The sequence below is a fragment of the Homo sapiens genome, chromosome 6 (genome assembly GCF_000001405.40).
Source record: "Homo sapiens chromosome 6, GRCh38.p14 Primary Assembly".
Lineage (NCBI taxonomy): Eukaryota > Metazoa > Chordata > Mammalia > Primates > Hominidae > Homo > Homo sapiens.
Window position 1 is genome coordinate 61,521,406 of NC_000006.12, and position 24,755 is coordinate 61,546,160.

Genomic DNA, 24,755 nt, shown 5'->3' on the forward strand with positions numbered 1-24,755 from the left:
GGGCTAAATGCCCATTTAAAAGACACAGATTGGCAAATTGGACAAAGAGTCAAAACCCATCAGTGTGCTCTATTCAGGAAACACATCTCACATGTAGAGACACATAAGATAGGCTCAAAATAAAGGAATGGAGGAAGATCTACCAAGCAAATGGAAAACAAAAAAGGCAGGGGTTGCAATCTTAGTCTTGGATAAAACAGACTTTAAACCAACAAAGATCAAAAGAGACAAAGAAGGGCATTACATAATGGTAAAGGGCTCAATTCAGCAAGAAGAGCTAACTATCCTAAATATATATGCACCCAATACAGGAGCACCCAGATTCATAAAGCAAGTCCTGAGTGACCTACAAAGAGACTTAGACTCCCACACAATAATAATGGGAGACTTTAACAACCCACTGTCAACATTAGACAGATCAATGAGACAGAAAATTAAAAAGGATATCCAGGAATTGAACTCAGCTCTGCACCAAGCAGACATAATAGACATCTACAGAACTCTCCACCCCAAATCAACAGAATATACATTCGTTTCAGCACCACACCACACCTATTCCAAAATTGACCACATACTTGGAAGTAAAACACTCCTCAGCAAATGTAAAAGAAGAGAAATTATAACAAACTGTCTCTCAGACCACAGTGCAATCAAACTAGAATTCAGGATTAAGAAACTCACTCAAAACCACTCAACTACATGGAAACTGAACAACCTGCTCCTGAATGATGACTGGGTACATAAGGAAATGAAGGCAGAAATAAAGATGTTCTTTGAAACCAGCGAGAACAAAGACAAAACATACCAGAATCTCTGGGACACTTTCAAAGCAGTGTGTAGAGGGAAACTCGTAGCACTAAATGCCCACAAGAGAAAGCAGGAAAGATCTAACATTGACACCCTAACATCACAGTTAAAAGAACTAGAGAAGCAAGAGCAAATACATTCAAAAGTAGCAGAAGGCAAGAAATAACTAAGATCAGAGCAGAACTGAAGGAAATAGAGACACAAAAAACCCTTCAAAAATTTAATGAATCCAGGAGTTGGTTTTTGGAAAAGATCAACAAAATTGATAGACCGCTAGCAAGACTAATGAAGAAGAAAAGAGAGAAGAATCAAATAGATGCAATAAAAAATGATAAAGGGAATATCACCACTGATCCCACAGAAATGCAAACTACCATCAAAGAATACTACAAACACCTCTACGCAAAAAAAAAAAAACTAGAAAATCTAGAAGAAATGCATAAATTCCTTGACACATACACCCTCCCAAGACTAAACCAGGAAGAAGTTGAATCTCTGAATAGACCACTAACAGGCTATGAAATTGAGGCAATAATTAACAGCTTACCAACCAAAAAAAGTCCAGGACAAGATGGATTCACAGCCGAATTCTACCAGAGGTACAAGGAGGAGTTGGAACCATTCCTTCTGAAACTATTCCAATCAATAGAAAAAGAGGGAATCCTCCCTAACTCATTTTATGAGGCCAGCATCATCCTGATACCAAAGCCGGGCAGAGACACAACGAAAAAAGAGAATTTTAGACCAATATCACTGATGAACATCGATGCAAAAATCCTCAATAAAATACTGGCTAACTGAATCCAGCAGCACATCAAAAAGCTTATCCACCATGATCAAGTGGGCTCCATCCCTGGGATGCAAGGCCAGTTCAACATATGCAAATCAATAAATGTAATCCAACATATAAACAGAACCAAAGACAAAAACCACATGATTATCTCAATAGATGCAGAAAAGGCCTTTGACAAAACTCAACAACCATTCATGCTAAAAACTCTCAATAAATTAAGTATTGATGGGATGTATCTCAAAATAATAAGAGCTATCTATGAGAAAACCACAGCCAATATCATACTGAATGGACAAAAAGTGGAAGCATTCCTTTGGAAACTGGCACAAGACAGGAATGCTGTCTCTCACCACTCCTATTCAACATAGTGTTGGAAGTGCTGGCCAGGGCAATTAGGCAGAAGAAGGAAATAAAGGGTATTCAATTAGGAAAAGAGGAAGTTAAATTGTCCCTGTTTGCAGATGACATGATTGTATATCTAGAAAACCCCTTCATCTCAGCTCAAAATCGCCTTAAGCTGATAGGCAACTTCAGCAGTCTCAGGATACAAAATCAATGTGCAAAAATCACAAGCATTCTCATACACTAATAACAGACAAACAGAGAGCCAAATCATGAGTGAACTCCCATTCACAATTGCTTCAAAGAGAATAAAATACCTAGGAATCCAACTTACAAGGTACATGAAGGACCTCTTCAAGGAGAACTACAAACCACTGCTCAATGAAATAAAAGAGGATACGAACAAATGGAAGAACATTCCATGCTCATGGGTAGGAAGAATCAATATCAGGAAAATGGCCATACTGCCCAAGATAATTTATAGATTCAATGCCATCCCCATCAAGCTACCAATGACTTTCTTCACAGAATTGGAAAATCTACTTTAAAGTTCATATGGAACCAAAAAAGAGCCAACATTGCCAAGTCAATCCTAAGCCAAAAGAACTAAGCTGGAGGCTTCATGCTACCTGACTTCAAACTATACTACAAGGATACAGTAACCAAAACAGAATGGTACTGGTATCAAAAGAGCGATATAGACCAATGGAACAGAACAGAGCCCTCAGAAATTATGCTGCATATCTACAACTATCTGATTTTTGAGAAACAAGACAAAAACAAGCAATAGGGAAATGATTCCCTATTTAATAAATGGTGCTGGAAAAACTGGCTAGCCATAGGTAGAAAGCTGAAACTGGATCCTTTCCTTACACCTTATACAAAAATTAATTCAAGATGGATTAAAGACTTACATGTTAGACCTAAAACCATAAAAACCCTAGAAGAAAACCTAGGCAATACCATTCAGGACATAGGCAAGGGCAAGGACTTCATTTCTAAAACACCAAAAGCAATGGCAACAAAAGCCAAAATTGACAAATGGGATCTAATTAAACTAAAGAGCTTCTGCACAGCAAAAGAAACTACCATCAGAGTGAACAGGCAACCTACAAAATGGGAGAAAATTTTTGCAACCTCCTCATCTGACAAAGGGCTAATATCCAGAATCTACAATGAACTCAAATTTACAAGAAAAAAACGAACAACCCCATCAAAAAGTGGGCAAATGATATGAACAGACACTTCTCAAAAGAAGACATTTATGCAGCCAAAAAGCACATGAAAAATGCTCATCATCACTGGCCATCAGAGAAATGCAAATCAAAACCACAATGAGATACCATCTCATACCAGTTAGAATGGCAATCATTAAAAAGTCAGGAAACAACAGGTGTTGGAGAGGATGTGGAGAAATAGGAACACTTTTACACTGTTGGTGGGACTGTAAACTAGTTCAACCATTGTGGAAGTCAGTGTGGCAATTTCTCAGGGATCTAGAACTAGAAATACCATTTGACCCAGCCATCCCATTACTGGGTATATACCCAAAGGATTATAAAACATGCTGCTATAAAGACACATGCACACATATGTTTATTGCGGCACTATTCACAATAGCAAGGACTTGGAACCAACCCAAATGTCCAACAATGATAGACTGGATTAAGAAAATGTGGCACATATGCACCGTGGAATACTATGCAGCCATAAAAAATGATGAGTTCATGTCCTTTTTAGAGACATGGATGAAGCTGGAAACCATCATTCTCAGTAAAGTATCGCAAGGACAAAAAACCAAACGCTGCATGTTCTCACTCATAGGTGGGAATTGAATAATGAGAACACATGGACACAGGAAGGGAACATCACACACAAGGGCCTGTTGTGGCCTCGGGGGAGGGGTGAGGGATAGCATTAGTAGATATACCTAATGTTATATGAAGAGTTAATGGGTGCAGCACACCAACATGGCACATGTATACATATGTAACAAACCTTCACATTGTGCACATGTTCCCTAAAACTTAAACTATAATAATAAAAAAAAGAAAATACCTCCCATTGGGTTGCTTAAAGAAAGAGAATTTGTAATATCAAAGTTCTGGAGGCTCAAAGTCCAAGACTTATTGTCAGGCTTGGTTTCTCCTAAAGTCTGTCTTTGGCTTGCAGACAGCTGCCATAGGGTTGCATTCATTCCCACTTGGCATTTCCTCTGTATGCATATCCCTGATGTCTTTCTGTCTGTCCAGATTTCCTCTTCTTATAAGAACCCATAAGAGACCATTCTAATGGCTTCGTATGTGCCCATCCTAAGGGCCTCATAACCCAACCATATCTTTACAGGACCCAGCTTCAAACAGTCATATTCTTGTGTACTGTGGTTTAGGGCTTCAACATATGAATTTTGAGGAGTCACGATTCAGCCCATAACACTCACGATTTGTCACTGCAGACTGGGACAAACTGTAATTTATCCACAGGCAGCAGTCATGCCCAATCTAATGTCCTGGTACAATAATTTCTCTCTACTTCTTCTGTCTACTTTGTTACCTAGATTTCTTATGTTAATGTACTTGTTGAACTGAATGTCTGTAATTAGAAGATAACACAGGATAGAAGGTAAAAGTCAGTCTGTATTTATAGCCTTAGCTTCACCTATTGCTAGGAATGAGATCCTTGAAGGTCTCTTGCTTCAATTCTCTTATCTTTAAGATGGGTATAATAACAGTATATATGTCAAAGAGTTGTCATTTCCATTAAATGAGTTAATGTACATAAAGCTCTTTGCACCAAACACGTTGTAGTATCTATATAAGTGACTGTTATATATAAACTAATTTTATGCAACACATTTGTGTAATATGATTTTTAAAATGTATGAATGAATAAAACATAAGCAAATACCTAACTGGTGACATATTTTTAGAATGCCACCTGAAATAGATTATAAATACATACTTGTATTCACAATTCTTTTAACCTGATAGTTTATCAAATCTTCATTCCATAGCTATATTTCCTTTGAATTTCCTTATTTTGTCACTTCATTTGGATAATGTACATTTTCTCAGTCATCACTAGAAGCCCCCTACCTGCACTGCTTTACCTCCCACCAGCTTCTCCAAGGCCACTACAGAACTTGTCACCTAACTCAGCAAATACTATTATATCTATGTTTCATATATGGAAATACAAGTTTGGGAATCGCACTGCTATTACTCTCCCGTGGTCAGCAGGTTCCACTTCTCCTGCCTAATGCTCTGTGGATGCTTTACTGTCAATATCTAAGATGATTTATACACTTTGGGCTACTATTATGAGAAATAGAAATGATCTATTTCTCATTTCACTTTGTGCTACTCAGATCTGTGTCTATAGAAATGATCTTCAGGCTTTTGTAGGATTTTCTTATTTCAGCATTGCTGACTTTGGTCTTTTTCCTCTGTTCCAGGTGGTGTGCTTCCTCTATAAAGCAAGAAGCCTCAGACTTCATACTGTGATTTTCAGAATAAGAATGCAATAGACTCAGTACAACTCACTACTATAGTCTTCATTTTATCCCCTTGCCCTACTTCTCTGCTGACAACTTTGCTTCCTATTTTATTGACAACAAAAAATCAGATAATGCCTTCTTGTTTTTCCCCAGCTCCAAAACAAATAGCCTATCTGGACCTGTGCCCAGGTCTTCTGCTCCTTCTTCTATCACTATAAGTTATCACCAATCCTGCCCTCCCACTGGTTCCAGACAGCCCTTCCTTCCACTGGTTCCCAGACAGTGCCACCTTCTTGAGGACTTGGATCCTATAATGATCCCTCTTCTTATATCATCATCTTCTTCCTCTGTATTGGATCATGTTTACTAACAAACAAAACATAAAACCAAAAATATTTCCTTGACCCCAGGTCATTGTCCAGTTATTGCATTACTTGCCTGCTTTTCTTGATAGCTGAAAGACAGCAGAATATCCAATATAAAATATGCCACTTTGGCTTAAGAATTATTTTGAGCTGAAGGAAATTCAGAAGCAGATACAAGAAAAGTCTCTGCCTCTTCTCTGCTGGGACTCACAAAACAATATCCCAAAACAAAGGCCTCAGAAGCAAAAGTTTTTCTCTGAACTTCTCCAACCCTCCTGTATCTCAGTCCCATTCTCTGCCAAGGCTAGCCATAGAAACTAGAATCCCTCTTCCTCAAGTAGGGTTATAGAAACCAAGAACCCTTTTTTCCTAAAACCAGTCATAAAACCTAAAAATATTACTCTAACTTTCCCTTTGCCCTATCTTTGTAAAAGCTGGTCATAAAGAAATTATCTGACCTGCACTGTTTCACTGTGTCCTTCCTTGACCACCCATATTTCTACATGGCTGTCCATACTTTGTTGACCTTCAGCATAAAAATGAGCAATTTCCTCTGTATCTTTGGGTCTTCATTCTGAAGGCTACTGTGTACACGTGTTAAACACATTTACATGTCTTTTCTTGTACTAATCTGCCTTGTGCAAGCAGATTTTTCAGAGAACCTTCCAAAGGGGAAGTTCCCCATTGGCCCCCACACTCTATTAACCTAAAAGCAGGACCTACATTTAAAAAGTGTCCCTCCATCCCCCTCTACCAGGAAAGACAGGCTGATCACTAGAGATTACTTCAGACCATTACAAACCTGGATATGGAACCAGAGGAATCTATATAACAAACTTCACTAACTACCTTTTATCTACCATAAATTTCCCATATCTGGCCTCCCCAACACCCTTCTTTCTTTCTTTGAGTTGAAGATGCTGTATCACAGCCAGAGTTCTAGGCTGCCTTGTTGAGATATGCTCTTTTCCCCTATCTCCCATGTATATATGAGATATACATGATAAATCTGTTTGTTTGTTTTTCCATTAGTAAACTATCTTTTTCCTAGCTAAGAACTATGAAGGATAGAGAGAAAATTATTTTTCTCCTCTCCTACACAGTCAAATTCTCTAAAGATTTGTCTACCATCAATGTCTCCATTTTCTCACATTTCATTCTCTCTGGAATCCACTGTAATCAAGAATTCAGCCTCAACAGAACTTTGAAACTGTTCCTTTCAATGCCAATAGTGATCTTCTGGTCATAGCCAAAGGTCAGTTCTCACTTCCCTTATTCAACTTCTCAGTAGCATTGAACATGGTTGAACAATCCCTGTTCTTGGACCTTGCTTTACTTGGCCTGAACAGCATGGACATACCAAAAATACCACAAATTTTAGAGTCAGGCAGATGTAAACATAAATTCTGGATTTTCTACATTGTATTTGCTTGATGTCTCTGAAATTATTGAACCTCACCTCAATTTTTTACATTTCTATAAGATAAAGATAACAGTACTCTTCCTGTAGGAGTATTAAAGACAGTATATATAAAACCTCAGCTTAATTTATGGCACACCATAAGTACTCAATAAATGATAACAATAATCATTATTGCTTTTTTCTTTACTTCTTGCTTCCATACTTCTGTTTATATTTTTACATCTGTGTGGTAGGCAGTGTTTTATCCCCAAAATTTATTTCACCTGTGGAAATCCCACCCTAACCTTAAAATCCATCTCCAATTTATTTTTTCCATGAAGTCATCCTTGTTTGTTTCTGAAAGAAAATGACCCTTCCTAGGAATCATTAGTTGCTTATTTTATCTGTAATTCCTATAGCATCCGTGTTATATTACTTTAATTCATGAATGTGTTTTATTGCCCTTACTAGTTCTAAGTTTCCAGTGGGCATAACCAGCTATGTAGAAGAAATCAGCTAAAATTTGCCTGGTAGGTTTTATAATTTGATGTTTCAGGTTTGGAAAGTTGTTTAAACATTTGCTCAATATAGTAATACTACCTAATCAAGAACCCATGAAAAAAATATTGAAATTAAAAGAAAAATTTATCCAACAGTCATTGAAAGCCAGTGCCTCCAAAAAAATGGAAAACCATTCCATGTTCATGCATAGGAGAATCAATATTGTTAAAATGGCCATACTGTCCAAAGCAATTTACAAGATTCAAAGCTATTCTTATCAAACTACCAATGACATTCTTCACAAAACTATAAAAAAACTATTTGAAATTCATATGGAACCAAAAAAAGAGCCTGAATAGCCAAAGCAATTCTAAGCAAAAAGAACAAAGCAAGAGGCATTACACTACTCAACTTTAAACTGTAACTACAGGGCTATGGTAACCAAAACAGCAAAGCAGTGGTACCAAAACAGACACATGGACCTATGGAACTGAATAGAAAGCCCAGAAGTAAGGCTGCATACCTACAATAATCTAATCTTTGACAAAGCTGACAAAAACAAGCAATGAGGAAAGGACTTCCTATTCAATAAATGGTGCTGGGATAACAGGCTACCCATCTGCAGAGAATTGAAACTGGACTCCTTCCTTACTTCATGTATTAGTCAGGGTTATCTAGAAAGACAGAACTAATATAAAGGGGAATTTATTAAGCAGTACTGCCTGACACAATCATGAGGTGAAGTCCCACAATACACCATCTACAAGCTAAAGAGCAAGGAAGCCAGTCCGAGTCTGAAAACCTCAAAATTAGGGAAGCCGACAGTGCAGTCTTCAGTCTGTCATGGAAGGCCTGAGAGCCCCTGGTAAACCACTGGTGTAAGTCCAAGAGTCCAAAAGCTGAAGAACTTGGAGTCTGATGTTTGAGGGCAGGAAGCATCCAGTATGCGAGAAAGATAAAGGCTGGAAGAATCAGCAAGTCTGTTCTTTCTATCTTCTTCTGCCTGCTTTATTCTAGCTGCACTGGCAACTAATTAGATGATGCCCAACCAGATTGAAAGTGGGTCAGTCTCTCTCAGTCCACTGACTCAAATGTTAATGTTTTTTGGCAACACCCTCACAGATACACCTAGGAACAATAATTTGCATCCTTCAATCCAATCAAGTTGACACTCAGTATTAAACATCACACACTATATACAAAAATCAACTCAAGATGAATTAAAGACCTAAATGTAAAACCCAAAATGGTAAAAATATTGGGAAGACAACTGAGGCAAAACCATTCTGGATATAGGAAAGGGTAAAGATTTCATGACTAAGACCCCAAAAGCAATTGCAACAAAAACAAAAATTGACAAATGGGACCTAATTAAATTAAAGAGCTTCTGCACAGCAAAAGAAACTATCAACAGAGTAAACAGACAACATACAGAATGGGAGAAAGTGTTTGCAAACTGTGCATCTGACAAAGTTCTAATTTCCAGCATCTACAAATAACTTAAATAAATTTATAAGAAAAAACCCAAACAACCTCATTAAAAGGTGGGCTAGGGACAGGAACAGACACTTTTCAAAAGAAAATATACATGTGGCTAACAAGCATATGAAAAAAAGCTCAACATCACTAAGCATTAGAAAAATGAAAATCAAAACCATGATGAGATACCATCTCACACCAGTCAGAATGGCTATTAAAAAGTCAAAAATTAACAGATGCTGGCAAGGTTGTGGAGAAAACAGGAAAGCTTATACACTGTTTGGTGGGAGTGAAAATTAGTTCAACCATAGTGAAAAGCAGTGTGCTGATTCCTCAAAGACATAAAAACAGAACTACCATTCAACCCTTCAATATCATTGCTGTATATATATCCAAAGAAATATAAATCATCGTATCATAAAGATACCTGCATGCATATGTTCATTGCAGCACTATTTAGAATAGCAAAGACATGGAGTCAGCCTAAATACCCATCAATGGTAGGCTCGATAAAGAAAATGTGGTATATATACACCGTATGTATATGTATAATACAAAAGAATTAAATCACGTTCTTTGCAGGAGCATGGATGGAGCTGGAGGCCATTATCCTTAACAAACTAACACATGAACAGAAAACCAAATACCACACTTTCTCACTTATAACTGAAAGTTAAATGATGAGAACACATGGACATATAGGGGGGAACAACAGACACTGGGGCCTACCAGAGGGTGTGCGGTGGGAGGAGAGAGAGGGTCAGGCAAAATAACTTAGGGATACTAGGCTTAATACTTGGGTGATGAAATAATCTCTACAACAAACCCCTGTGACATAAGTTTACCTATATAACGAACCTGCACATGTACTCCTGAACTTAAAAAAAAAAAGAGAGAAAAGGATGGCTGGCAAGATAGCCAAATAGGAACATCTCTGGTTGGCAGCTCCCAGCGAGATCAATGCAGAAGGTGGGTGATTTCTGCATTTCCAACTGAGGTACCCAGCTCATCTCACTGGGACTGGTTAGAGAGTGATTGCAGCCCACGGAGGGCAAGCTGAAGCAGGATGGGGCATTGCCTCACCCTGGAAGTGCAAGGGGTTGGGAACTCCCTCCCCTAGCCAAGGGAAACTGTGCGGGATTGTGCCTTGAGGAATGGTGCATTCTGGCACACATACTATGCTTTTCCCATGGTCTTCACAACCCACAGACCAGGAAAGTCCCTCAGGTGCCTACACCACCAGGGCCCTGGATTTCAAGCACAAAGCTGGGTGGCCATTTGAGAAGACACCAAGCTAGCTGCAGGAGTTTATTTTCATACCCCAGTAGTGCCTGGAACTTCAGTGAAACAGAACCACTCACTCCCCTGGAAAGGGGATGCTGAAGCCAGGAGCCAAGTGGTCTAGCTCAAGGAATCTCACCCCCATGGAGCCCAGCAAGCTAAGATCCACTGACTTGAAGTTCTCACTGCCAACACAGCAATCTGAAGTCCACCTGGGATGCTCTAGCTTTGTGGGGGAGGGGTATCTGCCATTACTGAGGGTTGAGTAGGTGGTTTTCCCCTCACAGTATAAATAAAGCCACCCAGAAGATCAAATTGGGTGGAGCCCGTTGCAGCTAAGCAAAGCAACTGGAGCCAGACTTTCCCTCCAGATTCCCCCTCTCTGGTCAGGGCATGTCTGAAAGAAAGGCAGCAGCCGCAGTCAGGGGCTTACAGATAAAACTCCCATCTCTCTGGGACAGAGCACCTTGGGCAAGGGGCAACTGTGAGCACAACTTCAGCAGACTTAAATGTTCCTGCCTACTGTCTCTGAAAAGAGCCTCCAATCTCCCAGCACAGCACTCAAGCTCTGCTATGGGACAGATTGCCTTCTCAAGTGTGTCCCTGACCCCCATGCCTCCTGATGGGGAGACACCTCCCAGCAGGGGTTGACACGCACCACATACAGGAGAGCTCCAGCTGGCATCTGGCAGGTGCCCCTCTGGGATGAAGCTTCCAGAGGAAGGAACAGGCAGCAATCTTTGCTGTTCTGCAGCCTCCACTGGTGATGCCCAGGCAAACAGGGTCTGGAGTGGACATCCAGCAAACTCCAGCAGACCTGCAGGAGAGGGGCCTGACAAAAGGAAAACTAACAAACATAGAGAAATAGCATCAACATCAACAAAAGGACATCCACAGAAAAACCCCATACGAAGGTCACCAACATCAAAGACCATAGATAGAAAAATCCATGAAGATGAGGAAAAACCAGTGCAAAAAGGCTGAATATTCTAAAAACTAGAATGCCTCTTCTGTTCCAAAGGATCACAAGTCCTCGCCAGCAAGGGAGCAAAACTGGATGGAGAATGAGTTTGGCAAATTGCCAGAAGTAGGCTTCAGAAGGTGGGTAATAACAAATTCTTCTGAGCTAAAGAAGCATTTTCTAACCCAATGCAAGGAAGCTAAGAACCTTGAAAAAAGGTTAGAGGAATTGCTAACTAGAATAACCAGTTTAGAGAAGAACATAAATGACCTGATGGAGCTGAAAAACACAGCAAGAGAACTTCATGAAGCATACAGAAGCATCAACAGATGAATTGATCAAGCAGAAGAAAGAATATCAGAGATTGAAGATCAACTAAATGAAATAAAGCATGAAGACAAGATTAGAGAAAAAAGAATGAAAAGGAACAAAGCCTCCAAAAAATATGGGACTATGTGAGAAGACCAAACCTACGTTTTATTAGTGTACCTCAAAGTGACAGGGAGGATGGAACCAAGTTTCAAAACACCTTCAAGATATTATCCAGGAAAACTTCCACAACCTAGCAAAACAGGTCAATATTCAAATTCAGGAAATACAGAGAACACCACAAAGATAGTCCTCAAGAAGAGCAGCCTCAAGACATATAATCGTCAGATTCACCAATGAAGAAGTGGAGGAAAAAATGTTAAGGGCAGCCAGAGAGAAAGGTCGGGTTACCCGCAAAAGGAAGCCCATTAGACTAACAGCAGATATCTCTGCAGAAAACCTATGAGCCAGAAGAAAGTGGCGGCCAATATTCAACATCCTTAAGGAAAAGAATTTTCAACCCAGGATTTCATATCCAGCCAAACTAAACTTCACAAGCAAAGGAGAAATAAAACCCTTTACAGATAAGCAAATGCTGAGACATTTTGTCACCACCAGGCCTGCCTTACAAGAGCTCCTAAAGGACACACTACATATAGAAAGGAAAAACTGTTTAGAGCTGTTGCAAACACATATTAAATTGTAAAGAACATCGACACTATGAAGAAACTGCCTCAACTAAGGAGCAAAACAACTAGCTAGCATCATAATGACAGGATCAGATTCACACATAATAAGATTAACCCTAAACCTTAAATGTAAATGGACTAAATGCCCCAGCTAAAAGACACAGACTGGCAAATTGGATAAAGGGCCAAGACCCATTGGTGTGCTGTATTCAGGAGACCCATCTTAATGCAAAGACACACATAGGCTCAAAATAAAGGGATGGAGGAAGATCTACCAAGCAAATGGAAAGAAGAAAAAAAAGAGTGGTTGCAATCCTAGTCTCAGGTAAAACAGATGTTAAACCAACAAAAATCAAAAAACACAAAGAAAGGTATCACGTAATGGTAAAGGGATCAATGCAACAAGAAGAGCTAACTATCCTAAATATATAGACACCTAATACAGGAGCACCTAGATTCATGAAGCAAGTTCTTAGAGACCTACAAAGAGACTTAGATGCCCACACAATAATAATGGGAGACTTTAACACCCCAATGTCAATATTAGACAGATCAACAAGACTGAAAATTAACAAGGATACTCAAGACTTGAACTCAGCTCTGGACCAAGGGGACCCAATAGAAAACTACAGAACTCTTTATCCCAGATCAACAGAATATACATTCTTCTCAGCACCAGATCACACTTATTCTAAAATTGGCCATATAATTGGAAGTAAAAAAAGTCCTCAGCAAATGCAAAAGAATGGAAATCATAACAGTCTCTCAGACCACAGTGCAATCAAACTAGAACTCAAGATTAAAAAATTCACTCAGAAATGCATGACTACATGGAAACTGAACAACCTGCTCCAGAATGACTACTGGGTAAATAAGGAAATTAAGGCAGAAATAAATAAGTTCTTTGAAACCAATAGGAACATAGACACAATGTACCAGAATCTCTGGGACACAGCATAAGCAATGTTTAGAGGGAAACTTATAGTACTGAATGCCCACAGAAGAAAGCAGGAAAGATCTAAAATCGACACCCTAACATCACGATTAAAAGAACCAGAGAAGCAAGAGCAAACAAATTCAAAAGCTAGCAGAAGACAAGAAGTAACTAAGATCAGAGTAGAACTGAAGGAGATAGAGACATGAAAAACCCTTCAAAAAATCAATGAATCCAGAGGCTGGTTTTCTGAAAAGATTAACAAAATAGACCACTAGCCAGATTAATAAAGAAGAAAGGAGAGAAGATTCAAATAGATACAATAAAAATGATAAGGAGATATCATCATTGATCCCACAGAAATACAAACTACCATCAAAGAATACTATAAACACCTCTACACAAATAAACTAGAAAATCTAGCAGAAATGGATAAATTCCTGGTCACATACACCCTCCCAAGACTAAACAAGGAAGAAGTCAAATCCCTGAATACACCAATAAAAAGTTCTGAAATTGAGGCCATAATTAATAGCCTACCAACCAAAAAAAAAGCCGAAGACCAGATGGATTCAAAGCCAAATCCTACAAGAGGTACAACGAGGAGCTGATACCATTCCTTCTGAAACTATTCCAATCAATAGAAAAAGAGGAACTCCTCCCTAACTCATTTTATGAGGCCAGCATCATCCTGATATCAAAACCTGGCAGAGACACAATAAAAAAGGAAATTTTAGGCCAATATCCCTGATGAACATTGATGCAAAAATCGCCAGTAAAATACAGGCAAAATGAATCCAGCAGCACATCAAAAAGCTTATCCACCACGATCAAGTTGGCTTCATTCCTGGGATGCAAAGCTGATACAACATAAACAAGTTAAACGTAATCTGTCACATAAGCAGAACCAATGACAAAATCACACGATTATCTCAATAGATGCAGAAAAGGCCTTTGATAAAATACAACACATCTTCATGCCAAAACTCTCAATAAATTAGTTATCAGTGGAAAGTATCTCAAAATAGTAACAGCCAATATCATACTGAGTGGACAAAAGCTGGAAGCATTCCCTTTGAAAACCAGCACAAGAAAAGGATGCCCTCCCTAACCACTCCTATTCAACATAATATTGGAAGTTCTGGTGAGGGCAATCAGGCAGGAGGAAAGAAATAAAGTGTATTCAGATAGAAAGAGAGGAAGTCAAATTGTCTCTGTTTGCAGATGACATGATTGTATATTTAGAAAACCCCATTGTCTCAGCCCAAAATCCCTTAAGCTGATAAGCAACTTCAGCAAAGTCTCTGGATGCAAAATCAGTGTGCAAAAATCACAAGCATTCCTATACACCAATAATTACAAACAAACAGAGAGCCAAATCATGAGTGAACTCCCATTCACAATTGCTACAAAGAGAATAAAATACCTAGGAATACAACTTACAAGGGATGTGAAGGAACTCTTGAGGGAGAGCTACAAACCAAGGAAATAAGAGAGGACACAAATGGAGAAACATTCCATGCTCATGGATAGGAAGAATCAATGCCATGAAAATGGCCATATTGCCCAAAGTTATTTAAGGATTCAATGTTCTTCCCATCAAACTACCATTGGCTTTCTTCACAGAATTAGAAAAAAACTACTTTAAATTTAATATGGTACCAAAAAGGAGCCCATATAGCCAAGACAATCCTAAACAAAAAGAACAAAGCTGGAGGCATCACACTCCCTGACTTCAAACTATACTACAAGGCTACAGTAACCAAAACAGCATGGTACTTGTGCCAAGACAGATATAAAGACCAACGGAACAGAACAGAGACCTCAGAAATACTGCCACACATCTGCAACCATCTGATCTTTGAAAAACCTGACAAAAACAAGCAACGGGGAGAGGATTCTCTGTTTAATAAACAGTGTTGGGAAAAGTGGCTAGCCATATGCAGAAAACTGAAACCGGACCCCTTCCTTACACTTTATACAAAAATTAACTCAAGATGGATTAAAGACTTAAACATAAGACCTAAAACCATAAAAACCTTAGAAGAAAATCTAGGCAATACCATTAAGAACATAGGCATGGGCAAAGACTTCATGACTAAAACACCAAAAGCACTAGCAACAATAGCCAAAATAAACAAACAGGATCTAATTAAACTAAAGAGCTTCTGCACGGCAAAAGAAACCATCATAAGAGTGAACAGGCAACCTACAGAATGGGAGAACATTTTGGCAATCTATCCACCTGACAAAGGGCTAATATCCAGAATATACAAGGAACTTAAACAAATTTACAAGAAAAAACAACCCCATCAAAATGTGGGCAAAGCATATGAATAGACACTTCTCAAAAGAAGACATTTATGTGGCCAAAAACCATATGAAAAAAAGCTCATCACTGGTCGTTAGAGAAATGCAAGTCAAAATCACAATGTGTTACCATCTCACACCAGTTGGAATGGCGATCATTAAAAAGTTAGGAAACAACAGATGCTGGAGAGGATGTGGAGAAATAGGAACGCTTTTACACTGTTGGTGGGAATGTAAATTAGTTCAACCATTGTGGAAGACAGTGTGGCGATTCCTCAAGGATTTACAACCAGAAATACAATTTGACCTAGCAATACCATGACTTGGTATATACCCAAAGGATTATAAATCACGCTACTATAAAGACACATGCATATGTATGTTTATCGCAACACTATTCACAAGAGCAAAGACTTGGAACCAACCCAAATGCCCATCAATGAGAGACTGGATAAAGAAAATGTGGCACATATACACTATAGAATACTATGCAGCTATACAAATAATGAGTTCATGTCCTTTGCAGGGACATAGATGAAGCTGGAAACCATCATTCTCAGCAAACTAACACAGGAACAGAAAACCAAACACAGCATGTTCTCACTCATAAGTGGGAGCTGAACAATGAGAACGCATGGACACAGGGAGAGGAACATCACACACCAGGTCTTGTCAGGGGGTAGTAGGGTAGGGGAAGAATAGCATTAGGAGAAGCACCTAATGTAGATGACGGGTTGATGGTTGCAGCAAACCATCATGGCACGTGTACACCTATGTAACAAACCTGCACATTCTGCGCATGTATCCCAGAACTTAAAGTATATATATATATAGAGAGAGAAAACTCATGGCTCATAGAGATGTCTCAAAACTTACCTTGTTTTGACTGAGCAACAATATCCATGTTTTGAAAGAGAATAGACCCCTGAAGTCCTCTTTTTAATCTATAAATGTTTGTTATTGATTTTTGAGTATTCTGCTTATTAGATATAGACAATTTACTTTTAATTATCCAGACATGTTTTGGATTAAGCAATAGAGTAAAACAAACAAATGTACTTTAAACAATAAATTGCAGTCCTGCAACCTGAACTCACATGTAAAACAAAGAATGGATGAAATCCTACTTTAAACTCTAAATGCCTTTGCGTAAGTGTTTTCCTACTTTATATTCATAAGTAAATGTAAACTTTAATATCAATTCCATTGCAGCCCTTTCTGAAAAGATTTCTTTGTATTGTTGACTTCAGGGGTAATTTGTTCTTCAAGCACAGACAAAGTTATATAAGTTACTTAGGAAAATATCTCCATGTTAGATTGTAACCTACTGCTTTTCTTTTCATGGAAGCCATGCAAAGCTATATGTGGTAGGGTAGATTGAGGGAAGCCCAGCCAGTGTCAACCTGTTTCATGAAGAACTAATGATATGCCTGCATCTTTACTGAGGATGCTTTTGTTGCCAAGAAAGAACACAATTGAGGGATGTGGGCACTCAATGTCTGCCTGACAGCAGATGTGAATCTTTTCTAACAGGTACATAGCAACAAAGCTTTAAATAGAATCCAGCAGCTGTTAAATCAAGAACAAGAATATTTACTTCACTTTTTCTATAGTCCCATTATTCTGTAATTCAAACGTCAACTCACCCTATTTTATTTTTAAGCTGTAGCTGATAAGGAGCAAAATTCCTCTACTATCCAAAGGGCTTTGAAGGGTTCTAACCTCATTTCACAGATTAAGTTCAGGCAGTTTACTCAGATTCCTTTTTAGGACTAGAAACTGTTTTTCCCATTTACAGCGAACAGTTTTAAAAACGTGTATTTCAGGGGTAAACAGACATCATCTCTGAACAGAACTAGGTTAGAAGTAAGCTTAGAGATTTGTCTAGATTAAATTTAGATTTGCTTTCAGTTTCAAAATGACCCCATACATTCCATTTCAGGATTACTTTCTTTTTCTGCTGTGAGGTGGATTGGAGGCTGCCTTCCCTAAGATTTTCTTTTCATTTTTTGAGTATGCAAGTGACATTTTCCTGTTCATCCAAAGAATGAAGTAAACCCGATTAGATTTGTTCTCCATCTGGGAGCAGGAAATTAACTTTGAAAATGATTTAAATCTCTTGCCTGGGGAGGGACTTTTACTGCCCTGAGTTCAATAGTTCAATTTGACAGAAGCCTTCACCAGATTTCTAATACATAGTTGTGTTTAAAAAAAGGATGAAAATGAGGCTGCTTTAAATTTCATTAACTGAATTCTTATATCAGACTGAATTTGGAGGCCTGTCAGGCAGAATAAGTTGGCCCAGTAAACATTTTAAGTAGACAGATATTATTATACTAGTTTCAAAGAAGAAAAAAAATACATGCTTTTGTATATTAAGAGAAAATCTTTAGGACTGACAATTATGCATTACAATTTTTTTCTTATTTTGTGACCATAAGAACAGGCAGCATAAGCATGAAACCATGAAAACTGGTTGAACATGTTTAGAGTTTATTTTGGTAATCAAAACAACAAAGCTATTCTGACATACTTCTAATGATATACATAATAGTTGTGCTGAAAGATGACAAAATGTCCACACAAACAACTTTATTTTGAATATTTATTTGCAGATAGATGTCACTTTTAGGATTTTTTTCTCACTTTATTTGCACATATCTATAATTAACATTGATGATGACAATATTCCCAATGACTATGAACATCATGAAAGCAGACATTTGTCACATTCTCTCACGCACGTTTATGTTTATATATACCATAGTCCCTCTAACTGGGGTTTCTTTGCTTGGGATACTTTGTCCAAAGACAATATTGGCAATATTTGCATATTAAGAAAATATTTGTATATTTTTTCCATGAAAACATAGTAAACACTAATTGAACATCTTCTGTGTGCTAATCATGTTAGTATTGGTGTCATGAAATAATTATAAGGACTTGAATTAGACATTTCAAAAGCCTAGGGTTAATACCTTGACAACTAATCTAAAAGACACATGTTGATTGCTCCCATAAGAGAGGTGTATATACTGGGGTATATCTGAAAAGGCTTTCCCAAGAAAGTGATGCATGAACTAGGTCATGAATAATAGAATTGTGAAATATTAGAAAGATCTGTATAAGAAAAATTATATTCCCAATATCATTTTTTTCTTTCATGCATTCCCATCCATACTGTTTTCCCCTCAAACCAAGGAGTTCTTGTTCAGTATCTACTCAGCAGAAAATAGTTACTTTGGCCCAAGTTAGGCTGTTGCAGCAAATGAGTCTCAAATTTCTCTCTCTCTCTCTCTCGCCCTCAGCTTTGTTTCTTGCATCTAATATATGTCCATTGGGGATTGAGTACAGTTCTACTCTATGTCATTTTCTTTCCAAGACTCAGGATTATGGATCATATTCTATCTGGGATATCATCAGATTTATGGCACAGAAAAAAAGAGCAAAGATGGAACCATAAGATGACTTCTAAATCTTCTGCTTGGAAGTAGTACACATCACTTCCCTCTTTTTAATTGGCCAGATCAAGTCATGTTCCCAAACCAAATCTCAATGGACAGGGAATATAATTATCCCACAAGGAGTGGCTTGACAGGCAGGAATCCTAGATATTTCAAATAAATGAGACTATACCCAAAATTAAAACACATTTTATATGACCCAGTATCCCAGCATATATGTGTGTGTGTGTGTGTGTGTGTGTGTGTGTGTGTGTGTATATATATATATATATATATATATATATATATATATATATATATACATGTTAACCAGTGCAGGGAACATAGTAGGTGCACAATAAGTATTTTTTAAATGGATACATGAATGATTATATTAACCAAGAAAATATTATATGATGTACTCTGATGTTTCTAAGATATTGTATCTTTTGTATTATATTCTATTTTATTTTTGTAAAGTGCTAATCATGGCCCACTAAATTGATTTCATGAACCACAATTTAAAAGCATTCATTAACAAATATAAGAATGTGAAAGCAATATTATTTTCAATGCTTGATTCTGTTTTTTTTTATCCTATGAAAACACAGGAAACATTAATTGAACATCTTCTGTGTGCTAGTTTTGTCAGTATTGGTGTCATGAAATAATTATAAGGACTTGAATTAGACATTTAAGAAGTCCAGGGTTAACATCTTCACAACTAATTTAAAAGAAACATATGGTAATAGCTCCCATAAGAGAGATGTATAAACTGGGGTAGATCTGAAAAGGTTTTCCCAAGAAAGTAATGCTTAAACGAGGGCATGATAATGAATAATATGATTCTGAAACACAAGAAAGACTTATATAAGAAAATTATAAGTAGCATGCAAGCTTTTGGTAAGTTTGAAGAAGCATAAATGGTGCAAGAGAAGGGAGATCAGACATATTATTGGGAAAGTTAGGGTTTTACACATCACCAACTAGCTATTCTTCAACTACTAGATATGTCAAGAATTCCTGGTATGTAATTCTATCTTTAAAAAAGCAAGTGAAAACAGAGCAGGAAAGTGGTGGAAATCAGAGTTTTGTTTTATAAACAGGTCAGATTTAAAGGTAACAAATTCCTTATCTCACATAGATATGAGTTTCTTTTGTCTTCTAAGTATATTGGGCTGATTTTTTTCTTTTCTTAATTTCTCAGTTGGGATTTGCACTGTACCAATTATTTGGCCATAAAACAAATCAGCCTCCATTTTCTGATCTATACACATAAATGCATAACATTATATTTCCATGCCATTTTTGAAATATGTTTGGCAACATGTAACAACAACAACAAAATGGTTTAGATTTTTAGTCACATGAGATCTATGGGAACAGGCCAGAACAGATAGAGTGGTACAAACAAGAACGTTTAGGCTGAGATCAATGTGATCCCGTGGCATTTCCCTCATGCTCAAAGATAATCGCTGGGCCTTCAGTTATAACATCAATTTATCAAGAACAAGAGGAGGAGGAGAAAGAAACTAGGAAAATGGGGCAAGCCTATATTAGAAATCCCCAGCCAACTTCCACTTGCAAGTAATTGGCAACAAGACCATATTCATATCACGTGGCCTCTTCAAGCTTCAAAGGAGGCTGGGAAATAAAATTTTTAAACATATTCCTGCTGTGAATAACATTAGAGTTCCCGGTATTATAGGAGGAGAAAACCATAACTGCTACATCTTCTTACCTCGCAGGGTTGTTGAGGGAATCAGAATGAGAGTACTGGTGTAAAATGACTTGAAAAATTTCAAATAATTATGAGCAAGTAAACTATTTTTAAAAAGTAAGAAGTGTACAAAACTTAAGCTAAGCTAATTAGCCATTTCTGCCATAAAATATTTGAAAATTCCAACAGCAATACAAAAATACACACACATGCACTCAATCGTTCATACACATAGCTGCTGTATTAACGTGTATAGTAAAAACATGTAGTCATCTATGTGTATAGGCCTACATATTATTTACAGAAAATTAATATTAGTTTATAATTAACTTTAACACACACACACATATAAAATAAAGTAATGGTGAAAATCAAAGACACTATCTTTCCTCTTAATTTTATACTACTGAAGACACAAAATTTTCCATAATATTGTGCTTATTTCAAGATCTCAAATCAGAGTGTTTATTATTTACAAGGCATCTTTATTGTTTCCAAGGAAAACCCTGATACCAATTAATAATGGGGGAGAGAGGAGGCAGATATATATATTCACCACAAAATTCACAGACAATCTGCAAAACTCACAGAGTCAGAAAATTTGAGTGGAGTTTAGGAGATTTGGCCCTGCTGGAAACAGAAAAACAAGATAAAAAGAAGATATGATAACTCTCAGGTACGTAAAAGTATGCTATAGAGCAGTTAAATAGCAATTATTCTATAAGCTGATTAGGATAGAACATGGTATAAAGACCTCAAGGCTATGAAACTCCTAAAATAAACATCAGGGAAACTCTCTAGAACATTGGCTGTGGCAAAGATTTCTTGAGTAATACTCCACAAGCACAGGCAACCAAAGCAAAAATGGACAAATGGGATCACATCATGTTAAAAACCTTCTGCACAGAAAAGGAAACAGTCTACAAAATGGACAGACAACCCAAAGAATGGGAGAAAATATTTGCAAACTATCCATCTGACAAGGGACTAATAAAGTATATAATGATCTCAAAAAAACTCTACAGGAAAAAATCTCATAATCTGATTTTTTAAATGAGCAAAAGATCTCAGTAGACATTTATCAGAAGAAGGCATACAAGTGGAAAATAGATATATGTAGAGGTGCTCATCAATGATCATTAGAAAAATGCAATGAAATATCATCTCATCCCAGTTAAAACAGCTTTTATCCGAAAGACAGGCAATGACAAATGCTGACAAGGATGTGGAGAAAAGGGAACCCTCATACACTAATTGACTAAATATTAATTAGTACAACCACTATGGAGTACAGTTTGAAGGCTCCTTAAAAAAACTAAAAACAGAGCTACCATATGATCTTATCCACCAATCCCACTGCTAGATATATACCCCAAAGAAAGGAAATCAGTATATAGAAGAGATATCTACACTCCCATATTTCTTGAGCACTATTCAAATATCCGAGATTTGAAAGTAACCTAATTGTCCATCAGCAGATGAATGGATAGCAAACATGTGGTACATATACACAATGGAGTACTATTCAGCTATAAGAAAGCATGAGATCTTGTCGTTTGCAATACCATGGATGGAGCTGGAGGTCATTTTGTTAAGTGAGATATGCCAGGCACAGAAACACAAACTTTGCATGTTCTCTTATTTGTGGGAGCTAAAAATCGAAACAATTGAACTCATGGAGACAGTGAGGAGAATGATCATTACCAGCAGCTGGGAAGGGTAATGGGGCTGTAGGAGTAAGTGTGGATTGTTTGTAGATACAAAAAAAAGTAGTTGGAAACAATGAATTAGATCTAGTATTTGATAGCCCAATAATGTGACTACAGTCAATAACAATTCAAGTGTACATTTAAAAATAACTAAAAGAATATAATTGTATTCTTTGTGCTGCAAAGTATAAATGCTTGAAGTGATAGATATGCCATTTTCCTGATATGATTATTATGCATTGTATGCCTGTATCAAAATATCTCATGTTCTCCATAAACATATACACCTAAAAATTAAAATAAATAAAAAGTATAAGTTTTAAAAAAGCATTATTCTTACCAAATTAACTAGTAGCTTCAAATTAACTAGTAGCTTCAGCAGATTTCATAATCAGCACCTTAACTAAGAGTCTTATGGAACCGTTAATCTCATAAGTAAAAGTTGAGGGCTTTTTGTATTTTAAAATCATTTTTAAAAATTTTCAAGAGTTTAAAAATAAAATGTTCTTAGCCTCCAAGCTAAAATAGCAAATAGCAAATAAATAATAAAGGGCAAAGCAATCTTTTGTTTAAAATGCTTATTCCTTTCCCAACTAGGTTTAACTGGGGAAAGTGGTAGGGAAGAGAAAATCTTGAAATCATTCATTTACTTCCTGACTCTCAGGTGTGGCTGAATGAAAGATTTCCTGGGCACTACATTAGATAAGAGGCTCAGTAAGGAGTTCTTTACAAAAATTTGAGTTAGAATGATAGACTGGATTAAGAAAATGTGGCACATATACACCATGGAATACTATGCAGCCATAAAAAATGATGAGTTTGTGTCCTTTGTAGGGACATGGATGAAGCTGGAAACCATCATTCTCAGCAAACTATCACAAGGACAAAAAACCAAACACCGCATGTTCTCACTCACAGATGGGAATTGAACAATGAGAACACATGGTCAGAGGAAGGGGAACATCACACACTGGGGCCTGTTGTGAGGTGGAGGGAGTGGCGAGGGATAGCATTAGGAGATATACCTAATGCTAAATGACGAGTTAATGGGTGCAGCACACCAACATGGCACATGTATACATATATAACAAACCTGCACGTTGGGCACATGTACCCTAAAACTTCAAGTATAATAAAAAAAATTTTAAAAAAATTTGAGTAGGAAGCTGCTCCATGACTAGCTCAATGTTTTGTCTGGCTTAAGAAGTGATAATTGGGGCTGGGCATGGTGGTTCATGCCTGTAATCCCAGTACTTTGGGTGGCTGAGGTGGGAGGACCACTTGAGGCCAGGAGTTGGAAACCAGCCTGGGTAACAAAGTGAGACCCCATCTTTATAAAAATAAAAATACAAAAAGAAGTGATAGGCACTAGGCCATCATCCCCAGTTGCTTCTTCCTTTCCCAAGATAGATTTAGTCTTCTTAATTTAAGCCTTGTTCTTATTATGTGGATCCTCTGCTTCAACATGTGCTTTTGACATAAAATTTTAGGTCATTGTGAAGGAAGGTGGAGGGGATTATGTTAGCTCATACGTAAAATATTTTTAGCTAATCTCTGTGTGTGTGTGTGTGTGTGTGTGTGTCTTTCTCTGCTTGTATATATTTCTTTCTAATTTTCACACACATACATCAATTCATGCTCAAAAACAGTATATGTAGCATACTGAATATGTTGAGTGAGAAAAGCAAGGTATGTGATAAACTGAGATCCTCTCTGTTATAGACTGAATGTTTGCATCTGTGTCTCCCCCACCCCAAAATTTACTATGTTGAAGCTCTATTTCCAGAGTGAGTGTATTTGGAGTCTCTAAGGAAGTAATTAAGGTTAAGTGAGATCATAAGGGTGGTAGGTCTGATGGGATTAGTGGTTTTATAAGCAGTGACACCAGAGAGCTCTCTCATGAGTGCCTGCACCAAGGAAAAGCCAGGTAAGCACAGAGAAGGCAGCCGTCTTCAACCCAAGGGGAGAGGCCTCACCAGAAAGACGCATCGCTATTCCCTGATTTTGGACTTCCAGTCCCCAGAACTGTGCAAAAGTAAATTTCTGTTGTTTAAGCCATACAGCTCCTCATATTTTGTAGTAGCAGCCCAAGCTGACTAATACAGTCTCTCTAAATATTTCTTCTTTTGACAAACACGTAAAGATATATGACATTAAACCAAAAATCTTTATCTAGTATTTCTCTCCTTTAATCTGAGGAAGTTGCCAATGACA

General features: G+C 37.5%; 1 protein-coding gene across 1 annotated transcript in view; it reads right to left on the reverse strand.

Moving 5' to 3' along the window:
- Positions 1-21,264: 21,264 nt before the first annotated feature.
- The window catches only part of KHDRBS2 (KH RNA binding domain containing, signal transduction associated 2), a 743,556-nt gene continuing 740,065 nt past the window's right edge, over positions 21,265-24,755 (reverse strand). Inside the window, exon 16 of the transcript NR_146870.2 lies at positions 21,265-21,462. The gene's annotated coding sequence lies outside the window, so the exon portion shown is untranslated. The remainder of the gene's footprint in view (positions 21,463-24,755) is intronic.